Raw genomic sequence first — 19,422 nt, 5'->3', positions numbered from 1 at the left:
CACAGCTGGAGGGTGGCAGAGCTGGGATTCACATCTGGGTCCATCTGGGGCTCGGAGGCTTACAGCCCTGATGTTGATCTTCCGAAGGCTGATCTCTCCATACGAACCATCAAACACCCGTCGGACGCTAAATCTGGGTTTCTGACGGGGTTACACGTTTCAGAATAAAGGCAAGATGCAGAATGATGCCTGCAGTTGCCCCCACCCAACCCCTGCAAAGCCAACTTTGCAGAGCTGGGGAAACTGAGGCACGGTTCCCAGGGGAGTGGGATTGCATGGGAATAGTGAGCAGGTTGCTTGTATTTTTACTGCATACAGCTCCTTTCATACTCCCTTCTGGTTGACAAGTGTGTTCGTGAATCCTCAGTCCCCTGTCCCCTTCTGACGGGGGTCCTGTCCCGAATAGGTGGCAACTGGTCAAAGCATCTGAACCCACATGAGGGTGATGATGGCCCCGGGCTTGCTGTGTCTTACATGGTGCACACGGAGCCTACTGACCCTTCCTCTATTTGTTAAAAAGAGGAGATTCCTCCCCATTTCAGAGTTTCAGGCACCGGTGTAGGCTCATGGGATATGTTTTTTTGTTTGTTTGTTTGTTTGTTTGAGACGATGTCTCTGTCTGTTACCCAGGCTGGAGTGCAGTGGCCTGATCTCGGCTCACTGCAACCTCCACCTCCCAGGTTCAAGTGATTCTCCTGCCTCAGCCTCCCAAGTAGCTGGGATTACAGGCGCCCACCACCAGGCCCGGCTAATTTTTTTTTGTATTTTTAGTAGAGACGGGGGTTTCACCATGTTGGCCAGGTTGGTCTCGATCTCCTGACCTCTGGTGATCCACCTGCCTTGGCCTCCCAAAGTGCTGGGATTATAGATGTGAGCCACCATGCCTGGCCAGGAGATGAATTTTTAAATACTAATAATAATACACACAAATAATAAAATTACCACCACCACCACCACCACCACACACCCCGTTTCCTTCTCACTTATCTCTGTGCTTCTCACAACCTCACAAGGTGTGACATGAACCCCCACCCCAAGCCCACAGGCTGGTGCTGCCCTTGCGCCCAGGCTGGTGAATGTGCCCATCTCCCCGGCTCCTCCCCACTTCCTCTTTGTCCTTCCTCTTTCCCATCGTATTTTTAGAAATCTTTGAGCTTGCAGCCCTGCTTCCAGGACAGCTGGCCTCACTTCCCCTTTCCAGGGCAGGAGGAGGATGCCATCTCAGGGCCCTAAATAAAGAGGCCCCTCAAAGTCTCAGTAGGAGGGACCCTGGGGCAGAGGGGGTGTGGGTGGAGCTGCTCCCCGCCCCAGCCCCACAAGCCCCACAGGCTCTGCGGAGTGCGGCTTCCTCCCCCGCCGCCCCCCCACCGCCCCAGCCGAGCTGGCTCTATTTTTAACTGCGCTGCCTGTCTTCTCTGCACCAGCACAGTGCTTGTCTTTGGCCACACTGGGGCTTTGCTGTCTGGCCCTCTCACCTTCCCGGCAGGCCCTGGGGGAGGGCGCCTTACCTGCTTCCCGACACAGGCCCACCTCAGGAGAGGAGGGGAGGCAGCCCTGGGGGCCCCTGAGTCACCAGCCTGTCCATAATAAAGGTGAGAAAACTGAGGCCCATAGAAGGAAGAGACCATGACCACTGGCAGGGTGGTGCAGAGCTGGAACCTGAGCGAGGTCCGGCTAACTCCCAATCCCCGCTTCCCCAGGCCAGGCCAGGATGATGGCACCCACGTAGAGATGACAAATCAGAACTCAGAGAGGGGAAGTCACCGTGCCATGAAGAAGCCCCATTTAAGACCCAGTCTGGGCAACAGGGAAATGACCTTTTCTCCCTCCCTCTGGCCTCCTCCTCAAGGAGGTCTTCCCAGATCTCCTCTGCCCCAGTGGGAAAAGTTGCTTCCTCCCATCTGTAGGTCTGTGTCCATTTGCACAGCTGGGTCAGGGTCCTGCAGGATGTGGCTCCTGCCTCTCCACCCCACCCCCAACATTCCAGACCAACACCTGTCCCCCAGGGTTAGGCCCATGGCTGGGTCACTGCTGTCCCCAGCACTGCATAGCACACTGGAAGGTCGTTTGTAGAGTGAATGAATGAAAAGACCAACTACTCGATGGAGAACCCATTGACCCCATTTAATCCATTTCCTCCCTAGTACCGGCTGAAGCAAAGCAGAGACTCCCCTCCCCTGCCCTCTCCATAGCCCCGGCCAACCTGGGGCTCTCTCCCGCAGGTTCTCGTCCCTGCTCTGCTGCTGACTGGCCGTGTGACCTCAAGCAAGTCAGTCCCCGTCTCTAGTTCACCTCTGGGAGCCTCAGTTTCCTTATCTGCAACATGGAGACAGCCATCCCTGTAACCTCAGTATGTTAGGACCCGAAAGGACAAAGCGCCCTGCTGGACACACAGGCAGGGGGGTTGCATCTCGGTGGGTGCCCTCCCCCCCTCATCCCACCCTCATGTCTGCTGAGAGGCCTGAGCCAGGTGCTGCCCTTCGCTGGGTCTCCCTGTGCCAACCAGGTGCCCCCAAGCTGTGCTCACTGAGCTGTGATTTTGGGAGCCCCCAAAGCCCATGGGAGAGGCAGGGGTCAGAGTGAGCCCTGGATAGGGATTCAGGGAACAGGATTTGGTCCTGCTCCTGCCTTAGAGAGGCTGTTTTCCTCCCTTGGCCTCTTTTCTCCCTTCTGCCACTGGGGGGGCTGTTGAAATGGATCAGTGGTTCTCTGGGTTCCCTGGGGCCCGAGGCTTCCATCTGGGGGTGGGGAGGAAGGGGGATGCCCAGTGGGCGGGGCCAGGCTGCTCCACATTAGGTGCGTTTGAAGCAAGGGTGCTCCTGGACAAGGCTGAGGTCATCTGGACCTGGGGAGCAGACAGCTCCCACGAGCCCTTAGGTTCTGGAATTCCAGCAGCCGTGTTCACCAGAACTGTTGCAGCTCTGGAGCATGCTGACATCCAGGGTGCAGAAACTTGGCCCCTCTACCGGGCCTTCAATTTGCCTCCCAAAACACGACCCTGATGTTCTTTTCCTCACCATCTTTGCAGCCTCCTTTCTCCTCTTTCTCCCCAGACACATTGTCTTAGTAGCTGGGGAGGGTTTCAACCAGAGCCTCTGTTGCTCACTCCTGGCCCTCCCCTGGCTCTAGGCAGCGTCCTCAGCCTCCCCAAAGACCACCCCAACCCCCGGGGGCCAAAAAGGGGCCTCAAGGCCCTTGTATCACCCAGACAAGCATCGCCATCACCAACATCCCATCATCATCTTAATCGCAAGTCACTTTTCTGAGTCCACCTCTGAGCCTTTGGACTGGCTGTTCCTTCTGGCTGGAATGTTTGTTCCTTAGAAAGCCCCTTAGCTGACATCTTCCTCAGGTCCCTCATCAGACAGCATCTCCTCTTGGGGCCTTTTCCACCATGCATTCCTGTCTTCCTTACCCTGCTTTACTGTTCTTCATCCTACCTGCCATCAACTGACATATGGAATCACATTAGAGTCACTGCCGGTCTCCTCATCTAGAGCACAAGCCTATGAAGGGGGAAACAGCGTCTGCTTTGCTACTGCTGTGTGTCCAGCCCCTAGAACGCAACTGGACACACAGGCTGAGCCCACAAATGTTTGCTTCTTGCAGCTGCATTTCCCACCTGCGCTGTATTCCTTTATCTAGGACCCTGTGAGGCAGGGGCTGCTGTCCCATTCTAAAAGAGAGCACCCTGAGGCCCAGAGAGGTTGACGGCAGTTGCTTACCTGGGTGGCACAGGTCCATTCCGACGCCTCTGGGGAAAAGATGACCCGTGCTCCTGTCGCTTGCCGACCCAGCTGCTGTTCGGGCTGGCCCGGCAAGGATGCGTCACCTTGACTGTAACAGGCTCCTTCCTGCTTGCCCCGCCCAGCCCTGTGTGGGGAGGAAGTCAGTCCTGGCCCACGGGGGTCTCGTGTGCAGGCTTTTGACAAAACAGCACTTCCTAAAAACTGGCAGAGTTTTGAGCAGCAGGGACTTTTGCCAGGGAGGGACAGAGGTGGAAACAAACAAACAAACAAACAAACAAACAGATGAAGTGAGGGGAGGGCCAGATAAAAAAGAGAAAGACAGTGAGACAGAAAGAAACACACAGACACATATGCACATACACACGTACACATGCACAGACACCGAGGGCGATGTTCACTGAGGACGAACATTTTCCAGGGGACCATGGGCATTCACGTGGCAGCCTCCTCACATATATGCCATAGGAGCGCCCAACTTGGACAGTCCTAGCAGGGCCCCCTGTGTTCCACCCCACAAGCTCTCTTCCAACTCCCACTTGAGAAGAGACAAATGAATTCACTGCTAGGAAGGGCTTTGCTTCCCTTCAAAGAAATATCTGGCTTTTTCTTGTCTAGTGAACAATCGGGTAATATGTTCCACTTTCCTTCTCCCCCAGGCTGCTGGGAAACTCATCGTCAAATCCAAAGCTCATCGACAGCTATTCTATGATGTCATGTGAACTTTGGGGCCTGACTCAGCTGTTTGACTCTCAGCTAGGGCTAGTCAGCCTCGCTTTGCTTATCTCTGAAAGGGGAATAACACTAACTCGGGGATATGGAAACCATGGAGTGAGAGGATGTGTCGGAGATGCTTGGGACATAGTAGGTGCTCAATAAACACTTTCTCCTTTGATTTTAATTATCTTCTTTGGTTAAAATGTATCATGTTATTCCTTGTGCCTTTTCTGGCAGGTTGGTTCAAATCCTTTCTGCAAAAAGCTTTGCTGTAAAGAAACAGGTATAAATTAAATGTGAATTCCCTATAACTTCAGGACACATGCAGAGTTATTCATCTGTTTCCCCATTACTCTCCAGGCCCCATGAGGGCAAGGTTACCTTTTGTGTTCTGGTGTGTGGTAAAATGCTGGGGACATAGAGGGTGTGCAAGTGTGGAATGAATGAACAAATGAATGAATGAATGAATGAATGAAGGGAACATGGAAGAGATCACGGCCGATGTGAAAGCTAGCTACAAGTTCACCTCCTTTTCACTATGCCGCCGCTTCTGCTGTCAAGGGGCGAAGTCCATTTCTCCTTCCTTGGAAGCTGAGCTGGCCTTGGGCATCTCTTTGACCAATAGCACGTGGCAGAAATGATGTGCCGTGATGTTCGAGGCTGAGCTTTAAAAGGCCTTGCAGCTCCTGCTCTTGCTCTCAGCCCCCTGCCTGGCTACCATGAGAACAAGCCTGGGCTAGCCTGTTGGAAGACGGAGGACCACAAGGAGATAGGCTGGGCTGTCTTGGCTGTCCCCTGGTTGCTGCCTCATCAGTGAGGCCAGGGGACACCAGAAGAAGAACCATCAAGCGGAGTCCCACCCAAACTGCTGACCCATAGCACTGTGGGAAATAATACATTTTTGTGGTTTAAGCCACCAACTTCTGGGATGCTTTGTTATGCAGCCAAAGCTTGCTGATACAGAAGAAATCCAATGCTGTCATTTCCTCGGAGAGAAAACTGAGGCTTATTTCTGGGAAACACTTGACCAAGTTGGAACTTGAGTGAGTGCCAATTCAGGCCCAGAAGCCAGGCCTACTAAGTCCCCGTCTAGTGTGCTCAGGATTTTTGAACCCCGCTGCTTCTCCCCTGCCCTGCCTCCACCTGGGTTCTTGTATAACTCATGGTTCTTTTCTGGAAAACTTGTTACAATTATTTCCATGGTAAACTAGATTTTTCTCAACTGCTTTGGGCCTGAGGCACCACAAACCATGCCCTTGGCCATTTTAAAACTAGAAATGTGGGCTGGGCATAGTGGCTCATGCCTGTAATCCCAGCACTTTGGGAGGCCGAGGCGGGTGGATCACAAGGTCAGGAGATCAAGACCATCCTGGCCAACGTGGTGAAACCCCGTCTATACTAAAAATACAAAAATTAGCTGGGCATGGTGGCGGGTGCCTATAATGCCAGCTACTTGGGAGGCTGAAGCGGGAGAATCACTTGAACCAGAGAGTCGGAGGTTGCAGTGAGCTGAGATCGCGCCACTGCACTCCAGCCTGGCAACAGAGTGAGACTCCGTCTCCAAAAACAAAACAAAAGAAAAAACAAAACAAACAAAATAACCCCTAGAAATATGGAGAAAGGTATATATAATTCCCTGTGCAGAAAGACTTCACACTGCAGGCCGGAGACTGCTATCTTTAGAAAGTCATGCTTGCAAAGTTGACCCTTGGCTGGCACCTGGGAGCTTGGATTTGGGGAGGGCTCCCACCACCCTAACTGATGAGAGTGGCTTACTGGGCCTAACCTATTTGCCTAGCGTCCCTGGCAGCATCCCATCTCACAGGTGCTTTCACGACTTGTTGCTGGAGGAATTGAGCGTGTCCCGTGTGACTCTTTTGGGAGCAGACTCTTGGAAGCTGCCCCTGGTTTCCTCTGGACTTCGCCACGGCGCCTTTGCGGATTCTGCTTTGAGTCCTTTCACTGCCATAGATCATAGCCGTAAGTATGACCATGAGCTGAGTCCTGGGAGTCCACCTAGTAAACCACTGAACCTGGGATGGCCTTGGGGAAGGCTGCCTGATCTTGCGGCTGATCCAGTAAATGTGTCTTGACCAGGCCACGGTTTGGCATCTGACACTTCCCTTTTGTCTGATGGATGGTCACGGTTGTGTGGTTCAGCTATTGTTACTGTCTTATTCTCTAAGACATACCTCAAATACCACCTCCTCTGTGAGGTCCGTTGTGATGACACCTCCCCTCCCTCTTTCCCACAACGCTGGTCATGTTTAACGGCTTATATGCAGACAGCCTGGGAGGGAGGGACTCTTTCACTGTGAGCAGCAAAGAGTTTAGCAGAACTGACTTCATCATTTTCTCCGTCACTCCTTGTCCAGGTTTGGCTGCAAGATTTGCTGGGAACCAATAGCACAGGCAATGAGGAGAGCAGGAAGCTGGACCCAGGGGAGTCACAGAGAACTGGATTTGAATCCTGACTCAGCTCTTGTGAGCTGTGTGATCTTCTTCCTTCCCCTCCGAGCCTCATTTTTAATCATTTAAAATCATCTACAAAATGGAGACAGTTCAGGTTAGGTTTGCCTACATGAAACAGAAAACCCAAATAATAATAATGGTTTAAAGAAACTAGAGGTTTATTGATCTCTTACAAGAAAGAAACCTGAAGTGGGCAACACATGGCTGCCCTGTAGCAGCCTGGGCATGGATCCAGGATCCTTCTAACTTTCGGCTGCTGTCCTCAAATTCTCTTCATGGTCCAAAGTGGCTGCTTGATCTCCAGCTATCATGTCTAAATTCCAGGTAGGAGGAAGGATGAAAACGGGAAGGAATCCCCTTAAAACTTTCTGGCCTGAGATCAGTCCTTCTGCGCTACATCAGGCTCTGGTTCCCACCTGTGTACCAGGCAGGGGATCCGCAGTTGGTTCTGGGACAACAAATGAGAGTCTCCAAACACGAGATCTGGGAGGTCCTAAAAAAACCATCACTGCTATTTCTGGAGTGCCTGCTATGGAGTGCCAGACACTGTGCTAAGTGCTTGTCATCTCATTTAACCCTTTCCACCATTCAACAAATTACATTATTACAACCCCTCTTTCATAGATGAGGGAACTGAGTTCAGAGAGGTTAAATCACTTGCCCAAGGTCACGCAGCCAGGAGAAAGCAAAGTTCAGATTCAAGCCCTGAACTGTCTGACTTCAGATCCCCACACTCAGCTTGTACAAGCGTCACTTTAAACATTTCAGAAGTTCACCGACCTGCCCTCCCCACTCCCTGCACTTCCTTTGAGGGAGAGATAGGAAGGGTCTAGCATCTGAATCAAATAATAGCAAAACCATCTGGGTAACATCTTCTGTTTGTCCAAAAGCTCAGAATTCCTCACGTGATGCCAATGGCCCAAGGGCGAGAGAGATGGAAGAAGCTTAGAGGAGGTCTGATTCCATGGCCTCATCTTACAGATGGGAAACGGAGGCTGGGAGAGGGAAGGGACTTAACAGAGTGAGTTAGAAGCAGAATCTGCCCTTAAGCCCATTTTGGCTGCACAGTCAGAGTGCCCATCCATCCATCCATCCATCCATCCATCCATTCATTTATTTATTCCTTTGATGTTTATTGAAGGCCTGCTATGAGCCGTGCACTGTTCCTGGCATTGGCACAGACAAACGTCCTGCCCTCATGGGGCACATGGTTGAGTCACTAGGCCAGATGGGAGGTGGCAGGTGGTGGGCAAGGTGTGTGTTGGGGGAGTGAATCCTCTCTGCAGTCCTTCCCCTTTCTCATTTTCTCTGATTTCTGATTTTTTCCTCAAGGATTCAGAACTGGAGACAGCGTCCTGGAGGCTCTCATAGTGGAGCATCCTGAAACTGCTGAAGGTCTGCCTGTGAACCTGAGCTGTGAGTAGGGTTTCCAGAGCACAGATCTCTCTAGATGTGCCTGATTTCCCCCAGACCTGTCACTCCTCATCCAGTGACCAAGAGCACGGGCAATGGGAGAGAAGGAAGCTGGATCCAGGAAGGAGGGCCTGCGACCCAGTAAGCCATAGGCAGGGATGGGGGTCAAGGGCAGTGGGGCACATGCTGATGTTCAAGTTCTAGAACTTGCCCGTAACGCAGAGGCTCCTCCTAGCACCACTGATAACAGAGAATTTGGGGAAGAGCTCAAAGGCTCATCGGAGAGCGAATGGTTAAAAAAATTGTACCGTGTCTGGATGATGGGTCAGTGCGAGTCATGAAAGAGAAGAATTACGATGTAGGATTCAAGCATCTACTTCCAGTTGTATGTAATGTTAACTCAGACCAGCTTAAATGGGAACTGAGCGGCTCAGTCTCTCAACAGTCTGGAACGGGGTTGGCCTTGGGGATAGAGATAGCAGAGACTCTTTTTTATTTTTATTTTTTAAGATGGAGTCTCACTCTGTTGCCCAGGTTGGAGTGCAGTGGTGCGGTCTTGGCTCACTGCAATCTCCGCCTCCAGGGTTCAAGTCATTCTCCTGCCTCAGCCTCCCAAGTAGCTGGGATTACAAGCACCTGCAACCACGCCTGGCTAATTTTTTTTTTTTTTTGTATTTTTAGTAGAGATGGGCTTTCACCATGTTGGCCAGGCTGGAACTCCTGACCTCGTGATCTGCCCTCCTTGGCCTCCCAAAGTGCTGGGATTACAGGCGTGAACCACCGTGCCCAGCCTACCCGAGACTCTTAAGTGTCCTTGTTAATTCTCTCCCTCCCTCTCTGTCTCTCAGTTCCAGGCTCACATCAAATCATCTTTGATTTCAGAGAGAGGGCTTACCAAAGAGAAATTTCCCAGGAAAAGACTGTGATTGGCTAGGCCTGGGTCATGTGCCCCACCCCTGGAACAATCATTGCAACAGCGTGGGAGAAACAGCATGATGGGTCAGGCCTGGGTTATGTGCCCAGCCATGTGGCCAGAAGGGAGGTGAGAGGGGATGGACAGGCCCACCAGAGCCACAAGGTGAGGGGCATTTCTCTAAAAAAAGGAAAGCTAGGCAGATAAAAACAACATTCACTCTTGCTATGTATTTATTTATTGAGACAGAGTCTTTCTCTGTCTCCCAGGCTGGAGTGCAGTGGCAGCTCACTGCAACTTCTGATTCCCAGGCTCAAATGATGCTCATGCCTCAGCCTCCCGAGTAGCTGGGACTACAGGCACACACCACCATGCTCAGATAACTTTTTGTATTTTTTTTTAGTAGAGACAGGGTTTCACCATGTTGGTCAGGCTAGTCTTGAACTCCTGGCCTCAAGTGATCAGCCCGCTTCAGCCTCCCAACGTGCTAGAATTACAAGCATGAGCCATCGCACCTGGCCCCCTCTTGCTATTTTTGATCCTAGGTTATATTGATAAACATGGAAAGTTATCCTCGACATAGAACTGTGAGTTTGTGTGTTTTCATGTAGCCTGGGGATCGGGAGCCCAGACTCGGGATCCAGACGGTCTGGGCTCAAATTCCAGCCTTGCCACTTTCTTACCATGGTCTTAGGTGATTGACTTCACCTCCCTGAGCCTCAGTTTCTTCATCTGTAAAATAGGCATAATAAGGGTGCTTGCCTCATATCATTGGTGACGGGATCTCTGAGTCAAGCTGTGTCAAGTGTGTTGGAGTGGCGCTCGGTCTGTCGTCAGTTTTTGATCGATGTTAGCGGTTGGAGAGGCCTAGAGCAGGGGTTGCCAGCTTGAATGCCCTGAAGGGTGAGACAATAAGCAAATGAGGGGAGTGGGCCCACTTAGGGACACAGCGGGGAACGGTGGGGACTGTAGCAAAATGGAGTGGCTTGTCCCATATGAAGTGGGCAGCTGGTCCTGGCCCCAGCTGACTGCCACCATGGAGAGACAAGAGTACAGGATGGCTGGTTTCTCTGTTTTCCAAGCATGGCTGCATTCATCTGCTTTTGTGTGAGATTCATCCTCAAGTAGTTTGACAAAATGGCAAAATGCTGAGCTGGAGAACATGGTGGAGGCCAACGCCATGGGCTGGATGTGGTTCGTGGCTCGCCCACTCACTGCCTCCCAGGTAAGCAGATGATGAAAGATCTTATCTGGAAAGGACAGTCACCAATGTGGTGACAGTCACTGTCCCTGTGTTGTAGGATTTACGGTGATTTGAATCTTCTTGGTATTTAGACATTTTATTCATCACCACCAACAACAAAAGAGAGGGTAGGAGCTGTGGGAAAAGGGGTTGGGAGGAGCGTGGGGAGAGAAGGTGGACAGGGTGGTGGCCACATTCAGGGTGCTTGCGGGAGCCCAGAATGTCAGTCTCCGCATGTTAACACACACCAGCCTTGACGCCTAGCAGAGGCTGAGCAGGGTGGGGGCCAAAGCTGCCTTCTCCGTTTCTCCTTAACGGTGTCCCACGTAGGTGACCTCCCTCTTGCCTGAGAACCCCTGGACTTGGGTTCAAATCCCAACATTACCAGTGTGGGATTTGCGACTTTACCTCTGCGTCTGTGTCCCTGTCTGCAAAGCGAATGTAGTCAGGCCTCCTCTCCTGTGTAGATGAAGGGATTGCAAAAGCAAGCCAGGAAGGACATAGCCCAGCTTCGAGTGACAGGTGTGCCACACACGCGGATGTCTGAGCACCTGGTCCTGCCGTCTGGAGATGGTGTGCATCCTGCATCTATGGGCACTTCAACCCAAGCGGGGGAATCAAGTGCTGGGATTTCAAATGGAGGGACAATTTTAGGTGAGATTATCTCATACCTCATACCTCGTAGATGGCTACGAGTTCTGAGCACAGACTCTGAGCCAGGCTGACAGCTGGGTGCTGGGGACAGAAAATTAAACAGCCAGCACCCATGCTCTGCGATAAGCCCAGGGCACAGAGGGGCTCTTAACCCATTCAGTGAGCATGAATGCTCATCTGGAGTCTTGACTGTTTGGTCTGAGGATTGAAATCAGTAGTTTGACACTATTGAAGGTCAAACAGGACTTTTTGAGGGAGAAGGTGAGGAGACGGTGTCCCTGGCTGTAGGAACAGCCAAATGTAAGGGCTGGGTGGCTTGAGAGGGAATGCAGAGGCGCTGGGCACGAGGCTGGTCTAGTTCTGCTTTGGGTTTCTCCCTCTCCCCCACGCCCCTGGGCCTCTACCCTCGACTCAGCTGCTCCCTGACTCCCACTTCCCCTTTCCAACCAGGCAGCTGTAGTTTTGGGACTGGGCCCTTTTCTGCTAGGGACAGGAAAACACACTTGCAGGTCCAGTGCATGCATGCGTATCACGTGCACGAAGAGGGGCCCTGGGTTCTGCCCCGCGCCAAAGTCACTGCGGTAGGGGCCTGGAGGAAGCCCAAGGTCTCCTGCGGGCCCAGGAGGTGTGTCATGGGGTGGGATGGATGGAGGTTCCAGACAAACCAGGGGCAGCCTCTCTCTGTGTCACTCCTCCCTGAGGTCACAGATGGCTGCTGCAGTCTCAGGTGTCACATCCTGACTTGACCATGCCTACCCTGGCTGCGCTCAGCCCCTGTGGCCAGGGTGGGTCCATGCTCACACCTGGATGCAAGGGATCCTGGGAACATAGCCCCTGGCATTGGCAGCATCGAGGTGGGAGGTGGGGAGGAGGGGGCTGCTGGTGGGAATGAAGGGACCAGCCTGTGAGATCCTGGAGGGGCCATCATGGGAATAAGGGGGAGCAGCAGAGGGATGGATGAAGGAACCCAGGTGTGGTCAGAGGCTCCCAGATGAGGGCCTTCCAGGAAGTGACTGGCCATATCCCTGGCTGCTGGGAGGTGGAGGTCTCCAATGTCCATGGGGTCAGCAAGGGGCTGGGGGTGAGCGGTGGGGAGGAAAGGAGGGGAGGAAGTGGAGGGTGTGAGGTGGGGCAGGGACGAGGGCTGGGAGAGGTGGGATCCGCTGCAGCCCGAGGGGGTGGGTTGAAGAGGGTGTTTTCGGGAAAGAAGCAACTTGACTTAAGTCAAGCTGCAAGAGGCCCGAGGTGTTTCTGAGTAGAGAGGAGGAGGAGGAGAGCAGGGCACGGGAGAGGACGGCAGGCTAAGAGGAAAGTCCGGAGGACCCTCTCCCCACGGGGAGGGTAAGGCTGGAACCTGCAATCCTGTCATCTGAAGGTGACTGTTTCCCATTTGACAGACCAGGAAACTGAGGTTCAGGGAGTCCTCAGTGGCAGGCCAGGGCTCCAGCCCAGAGTTTGGTTGTGACTTCTGAGTGGTCATGGTTAAGGCTGACTCATCTTTCTGGGACGTGAGTTCTAGCTCTTTCGGAGCCCACTCCTTCAGTGTCTGTGGGAGTCCTTTAAAAGATTGAAATCAGTAGTTAAACCCGTGTCCGCTTCAGTCTACCACGGAGTCTCATTTTTTGCCCGAAAGTATAATTGTAGAGCTCCAACCAAATGGATTCACACAGGATCTCCGGTTACACGTGATCGCTGGGTCCCTCTGTCCCCATTTCTGCCATTGTGTTCTTGTGTCTTTGGCTTCTACGTCCACATTTATGGGCCCTGGGGCGTGGGGGAGGCCAGGGCTACTTGCTGGACACCCTCCAGAACCAACCCCACCCCAGGGCAGCGCTGGGGCTCCCCGGGTCCTCCTGCTTTGAAAACTGAGTGGCCGAAACACTTCTGTGGGCTCTGAGGGCAGGGCTGGATGATTTTGTGTTTTGTGTTTCTTTGAGACAAGGTCTAGCTCTGTTGCCCAGGCTGGAGTGCAGTGGAGCAAACACAGCTCACTGCAGCCTTGACCTCCCAGGCTCAAGCGATCCTCCCACCTCAGCCTCCCAAGTAGTAGGACTACAGTCACATGCCACCATGCCTAATTTTTTTTTTTTTTTGTAGAGACAGGGGTCTTGCCATGTTGTCCAGGCTGGTCTCTAAACCCTGGGCTCAAAGGATCCTCCTGCTTTGTCTCCGAAAGTGCTGGGATTACAGGCGTGAGCCACTGTGCTGGGGCCAGGGCTGGGTATTTTGAAAGATACTCAGGGTTGGGTGTGGTGGCTGACGCCTGTAATCCCAGCATTTTGGGAGGCCGAGGTGGGTGGATTGCCTGTGGTCAGGAGTTCGAGACCAACCTGGCCAACATGGTGAAACCCGTCTCTACTAAAAATACAAAAAATTTAGCTGTGCGTGGTGGTGTGTTCCTGTAATCCCAGCTACGTGGGAGGCCGAGACAGGGGAATCACTTGAACCTGGGAGGCAGAGGTCGCAGTGAGCTGAGATTTCACCACTGCACTCCAGCCTCGGCAACAGAATGGAAAAAAAAAAAAAGAAAAGAAAAGATGCTCCGGATTTTGCCTTCTGGAGTGTAAAGCTAGACAGGGGCACCTCAGAATTGGTTGGTTTGCATGTGAAAGTCATTTTCTCTCTCTAGGAATTAGCTAACCCTGGGAGAGGTGCTAATTCTTAGTCACGAGGTCCCAGATGCCGGAGCCTCAAGAATATAGAAAGTAAGAAAATACAGTTAATATATTACATCTAGTTAGTACACTGGGCTGGTCTGGCTTCCTGCTGCATCTCCAGCACTTACAACAACCTGGCACACAATAGATGGTCAAAACACGCTTCTTGAAGGAATGAGGCTGGGTCGTGTTTGTGAAGGGCTGATGTGTGTCACATGAAGTGCCCCTGTCTGACTTTACACTCCAGAAGGCAAAATCCTGAGTATGGCGAAATCTCGGTTCACTGCAACCTCCACCTCCCGGGTTCAAGCGATTCCCCTGCCTTAGCCTCCCCGGGAGCTGGGATTATAGGCATGCGCCACCATGCACAGCTAATTTTTTTGTATTTTTAGTAGAGGTGGGGTTTCACCATGTTGGCCAGGCTGGTCTCGAACTCCTGACCTCAGGTAATCTGTCCGCCTCAGCCTCCCAAAGTGCTGGGAGGACTAGCTTCTTTCTGGTGTCAGCCAGCAGCTCCTTGGATTCCAATGAGTCACCCTGGCTTTGAACCTCAGTGCCTCCACCCGTGAGCTGCAGCAGCATCAGTCAGGCTCAGCCTTTCCATCTGTAAAATGCGGATACCGTGGAATGTCTCAGCAGCTTGGGAAGATCAGAGGGAGCAAAGGCAGAAGACAGGGGCTGGCTGTGTTTTCTTGAGATTTAGGAAAGATGATCTTAGGGAGGGAAACTCAAACCTGGATACACACCAGCCTCACCTGGGGTATCTGTTAAGATATAGACTCCCAAGTTCTGAGTCTGTCTCTCCGATGGAGGGACCTGGAATCATTATTTCAAACATGCTCTCAGATGCCTGTGACCCCAGTAAGGGCCATGCTGTCCTCCAGGTTCTGTAAAGATGTCAGGACATGCTCTGGGCTTCGGCCTTCAGCGAAGAAGTTCTTTTAAGTAACAAGGAAGCCACTTCTTTGCTTGCTGTTGAGGGCATGATGTCACCCAGTGCCTCTTACAGCAGAGCACGTAAGAGCTTTCGCCTGGCATGGTGTTAAGAAAACCCATCTCGCTAAGAAACTGACATGCTTCTCCTTTTCCAGTAAGGAGAACTGAGTAATGTATCCTGTTTCCCTTTTTGCCCCAGCTGCCAGGAAGCTCAGGCCAATCCGAATCTCATCAGCAACAACTCATCATTTGGCATATTTCCCTCTGCTTTTCTCATTGGTCTTGATCTTCTACTTTTGTATTCCTAGCTTTTTGTGTATGTGGGAGATGGAGATTCTCAATATAAAAGGAAAGGAGGAGGGAAGGAAGAAAGGCAGAATAAAGATATCCATCATGGGACACCACACTTAAAATTTTGGCCGCCAGCCTGCTGTGTGCCCTCAGGTCACTCACTCTCACTCTCTGATTCCCTCTACCCTCCTCACCCCCATCAGTCTCCCCTGCAGCCTCTCCTTTCTCTGTCTTCCCTGAAATGTTTATTCCCTTATTCATTCAACATATATTTATGGAATACCTATCTGTTCTGCTCCATAACAAATGACTTTGAAACGTCTTAGTGGATTTAAACAGCATTGATTTTGCTCACGAATCCGCAGTCTAGGCAGGGTCCCCCTGGGAGAGCCGGTCTCTGCTCTTCTTGAGGTCGGCTGGGGTGTTAATATCTGAAGGCTCAAACATGTGTCATTTCTTGGTGTTGGGGGAACACTAGCTATTTTCAAAATCTTCCCATCTAACTATTTTGAAATATACAAAAATCGTCCGCTATAGACTTCCTGCTGTGTTATAGAACGATAGAGATCATTCCTCCTATCCGGCTGTCATTTTGTACTTGTTAACCAATCTCTTCCTCCCCTCTGCTCCCCGATCCCCTTTCTATCCTCTGGTGACCTCCATTCTACTCTCTGCCTCTGTGAGATTGACTTTTTAGCTCCTACATATGAGAGACAATTTGTCTTCCTGCGCCTGACTTAATTCACTAACATAATGTCCTCCAGGCTCATCCGTGTTGTTGCAAATGATGATATTTCATTATTTTTTATGGCTGAGTAATATTCCACTGTGTATATGTATCACATTTTCTTTATCTATTCATCCACTGATAGACACTTAGGTTGCTCCCATATCTTGGCTATTGTGAATAATGACACAATAAACATGGGAGTACAGACATCTCTTCAACATGCTGATTTTCTTTCCTTTGGACATATACCCAGGAGTGGGATTGCAGGATCATATGGTAGCGCTAGTTGTAGTTTTTTGAGGAAGCTCCGGACTGTTTTCCATAACAGCTGTACTGATTTACATCCCCACCAACAGTGGCCGAGTTCCCCTTTCTCTGCATTCTTGCCAGCATTTGCCATGTTCTGTCTTTTTGATTATAGCAATTTTAACTGGGGTGAGATAATATCTTATTGTGGTTTTATTGTATTTCCCTGACGACTGGCAACGTTGAACATTTGTTTTTCATGTTATCTGTTGGCTATCTGCATGTCTTCTTTTGAGAAATGTCTATTCAAGTCTTTTGCCCATTTAAAAATTGTATTTTTTTTTCTTCCTGTTGAGTTATTTGAGCTCCTTCTGTGTTCTGGACATTAATTCTTTGTTGGGTGGATAGTTTGCAAATATTCCCTCCCATTCTATAGGTTGCCTCTTCTCTCTGTGGATTGTTTCCTTTGCCATGCAGATGTTTTTGGCTTGTTGCATTCCCCATTTGTCTATTTTTGCTTTTGTTGCCTGTGCTTTCGAGGTCTTATAAAAAAAAAAAACACTTTGTCCAGACCAATGTCCTGAGGCATTTTCTCTATGCTTTCTTCTAGTACTTTCCTAGTTTCGAGTCTTACATTTATGTCTTTAATCCATTTTGAGCTGATTTTTGTGTGTGGTGGGAGACAGGGGTCTAGGTTCCTTCTTCTGCATGCTGATATCCAATTTTCCTGGTCCACTTACTGAAGAGACTGTCCTTTCCTCAGTGTATATTCTTGGTGCCTTTGTAAAAAACCATTTGGCTGTAAATACGTGGATTTATATCTGGGTTTTCTATTCTGTTCCATTGGTCTATGTGTCCATTTTTGTTTTTGTTTTTGTTTTCTGAGACAGAGTCTTACTTCTTGCCCAGGCTGGAGTGCAGCAGCGCCATCTCCGCTCACTGCAATCTCCACCTCCCGGGTTCAAGCGATCCTCCCACCTCAGCCTCCCAAGTAGCTGGGAATACAGGCAAAAGCCACCATGGTTGGCTAATTTTTGTAGTTTTAGTAGAGACGGGGTTTCACCTTGTTGGCCAGGCTGGTCTTGAACTCTGACCTCAAGTGAACTCCTGCCTCAGCCTCCCAAAGTGCTGGGAATACAGCTGTGAGCCACTGCACCTGGCCTATGTGTCTACTTTTATGCCAGTACCATGCTGTTTTGGTTACTATAGCCTGGTGGTATGTTTTGAAGTCAGGTAGTGTGATGCCTCCAGCTTTCTTCCTTTTGCTCAAAGGCCCTGAATGCTTTGTCCATACAGATTGCATACAGATTTTAGGATTTTTTTTTTCTATTTCTGTGATGAATGTCATTGATATTTTGGTAAAGATTATATTGAATCTGTAGATCCCTTTGTGTGGTATGGACATTTTAACAATATTAATTCTTCCAATCCATGAACATGGGTTATTTTTCCATGTTTTTGTGTCCTCTTCAGTTTCTCTCATCAGTGTTTTATAATTTTCATCATAGAGATCTTTTCCCTCTTAGGTTAAATTTATTCATGGCTGGGCATGGTGGCTCACGCCTGTAATCCCAGCACTTTGGAAAGCCGAGGCGGGTGGATCACGAGGTCAGGAGATAGAGACCATCCTGGCTAACACGGTGAAACCCCGTCTCTACTAAAAATACAAAAAAAAAAAAAAAAAATTAGCCAGGTGTCATGGCGGGCATCTGCTGTCCCAGCTACTCGGGAGGCTGAGGCAGGAGAATGGCGTGAACCCGGGAGGTGGAGCTTGCAGTGAGCCGAGATCGCACCATTGCACTCCAGCCTGGGCAACAGAACGAGACTCTGTCTCAAAAAAAAAATTATTCGTAAGTGTGGTTTTTTTTTTTTTTTTGCAGCTATTATAAATGGGATTGCTTTTTTCTTTTTCAAGTTGCTTCCTACCGGTGTAAAGAAACACTTCTGATTTTTGTATGTTGATTTTGCGTCTTGCAACTTCACTGAATTTATTAGTCCTAACCATTTTTGAATGGAGTGTTTGGGTTTTTGTAAATATAAGATGATGTCATCTGCAAAAAGGGACAATTTTACTTCCTGCTTTCCAGTTTGGATGCCATTTTTTTCTTTCACTTGCCCAATTGCTCCGGGTAGGGCTAGAGTTTCAGTTTTGCAACCTTAAAAAAGTTGCACATTGTGAATGTACTTAATGTCACTGAACTTTACACTTCAAATGGTAAAAATGGTACATTTTCTGTTATGTATATTTCACTACAATTAAAACAACACAAATGAAGCCCTACAGAAAAGTTTTTTAAAAGGCCACCAAAAACCCTAGAAAGCTCTGGGAGGCACCCAGTGCGAGACCCGCACAGAGGGGCTCAGGCCTGAGATCAGGCCACCAAGCTGGGCAGACATGGCCAGCTCCTCCCCGTTACTGCTGGCTGCCCCGCTATAGTGAGCTTCCCTCTCTGGGCCTCAGCTTCCTTTTCTGTAAAACAGGGTTAGTGACCAGGTGCGGTGGCTCATGCCTGTAATTCCAGCACTTTGGGAGGCCGAGGTGGGTGGATCACCTGAGATCAGGAGTTCGAGACCAGCCTGACCAACAAGGTGAAACCCTGTCTCTGCTAAAAATACAAAAATTAGCCGGGCATGGTGGCAGGCGCCTGTAATCCCAGCTACTCAGGAGGCTGAGACAGGAGAATCGCTTGAACTCGGGAGGTGGAGGTTGCAGTGAGCCGAGATCGCACCACTGCACTCCAGTCTGAGTGATGGAGTGAGACTCCGTCTCAAAAACAAAACGAAAAACAGAAAACAAAAACAAAAAAACCGGGGTTAGTGACGACGCCTCCCTCAAGGGAAGGTTGTTTTTGTTTCATTTTTTCAAACAAGGGAAGTTTTGCAGAATGTAATGAAATAATCCATGTAAGGCAGTCAGCACAGAGCACGGCCACGAGTGGCCGAGGGAAGTGGGCCTGGGGTCTCTCAGCTCTCCAGAGCCGAGGCCCACAGGAGGAGCCAGACCAGAGTCGGGGCAGGGGTCTGGCCCTCCTTGCCCCACCCCTCGTCGGTTTCCTAGGTGACCAAAGCCAGCCCGCGGGCTCCCCTGCGTGGTCGCCGCGGGGATGGCACTCAGAGAACCCACCGCCTGGGGCTCCCCTGTGAACGAGGGGACCTCTGAGGGTCCTTCAGCCCCAATACCCAGGTATCCGTGGGGCTGGATTCTGGCCGGGAACAGGGCTGGACCCCTAGGAGCCCGTCACATGGGGGAGGCAATCCAATCCAGGATGATTCCGCTGACACGTAACGAGTTCTTGAAACAGTATGAACGGGAGTGGTAAGGATGGATTCCACATGGGGAGAACTGGGGAAGGGGTTGTCAGGTGTAGGGGTTGGGTTAGGAGAGCTGGCTTGGAAGAGGGAAG

The 19,422-nt window shown here is 50.7% G+C and overlaps 1 protein-coding gene across 2 annotated transcripts in view, besides 7 other annotated features; it reads right to left on the bottom strand.

The window, feature by feature from the left end:
* Positions 1–3,806, bottom strand: part of CYTH4 (cytohesin 4) — a 32,834-nt gene extending 29,028 nt beyond the window's left edge. For both annotated transcript variants that reach the window (NM_001318024.2, NM_013385.5), the window contains exon 1: positions 3,726–3,806. Coding sequence is in view for 1 of the 2 variants with exons in the window: in NM_013385.5 (NP_037517.1) it covers positions 3,726–3,744 (19 nt within the window). In the remaining variant the exon portion in view is untranslated. The remainder of the gene's footprint in view (positions 1–3,725) is intronic.
* Positions 1,330–1,449: a silencer, noted in NCBI's record as "silent region_13684". NCBI's record gives its function as "represses an Ori minimal core promoter by ATAC-STARR-seq in GM12878 lymphoblastoid cells {active_cell/tissue: GM12878}" and the evidence as "EXISTENCE:reporter gene assay evidence [ECO:0000049][PMID:35858748]".
* Positions 1,680–1,789: an enhancer, noted in NCBI's record as "active region_18965". NCBI's record gives its function as "activates an Ori minimal core promoter by ATAC-STARR-seq in GM12878 lymphoblastoid cells {active_cell/tissue: GM12878}" and the evidence as "EXISTENCE:reporter gene assay evidence [ECO:0000049][PMID:35858748]".
* Positions 2,402–2,451: an enhancer, noted in NCBI's record as "active region_18964". NCBI's record gives its function as "activates an Ori minimal core promoter by ATAC-STARR-seq in GM12878 lymphoblastoid cells {active_cell/tissue: GM12878}" and the evidence as "EXISTENCE:reporter gene assay evidence [ECO:0000049][PMID:35858748]".
* Positions 3,998–4,047: an enhancer, noted in NCBI's record as "active region_18963". NCBI's record gives its function as "activates an Ori minimal core promoter by ATAC-STARR-seq in GM12878 lymphoblastoid cells {active_cell/tissue: GM12878}" and the evidence as "EXISTENCE:reporter gene assay evidence [ECO:0000049][PMID:35858748]".
* Positions 11,662–11,831: an enhancer, noted in NCBI's record as "active region_18962". NCBI's record gives its function as "activates an Ori minimal core promoter by ATAC-STARR-seq in GM12878 lymphoblastoid cells {active_cell/tissue: GM12878}" and the evidence as "EXISTENCE:reporter gene assay evidence [ECO:0000049][PMID:35858748]".
* Positions 18,767–18,956: an enhancer, noted in NCBI's record as "active region_18961". NCBI's record gives its function as "activates an Ori minimal core promoter by ATAC-STARR-seq in GM12878 lymphoblastoid cells {active_cell/tissue: GM12878}" and the evidence as "EXISTENCE:reporter gene assay evidence [ECO:0000049][PMID:35858748]".
* Positions 18,977–19,036: an enhancer, noted in NCBI's record as "active region_18960". NCBI's record gives its function as "activates an Ori minimal core promoter by ATAC-STARR-seq in GM12878 lymphoblastoid cells {active_cell/tissue: GM12878}" and the evidence as "EXISTENCE:reporter gene assay evidence [ECO:0000049][PMID:35858748]".

The sequence above is a fragment of the Homo sapiens genome, chromosome 22 (genome assembly GCF_000001405.40).
Source record: "Homo sapiens chromosome 22, GRCh38.p14 Primary Assembly".
NCBI lineage: Eukaryota > Metazoa > Chordata > Mammalia > Primates > Hominidae > Homo > Homo sapiens.
This window is presented reverse-complemented; position numbering and strand designations above follow the sequence as displayed.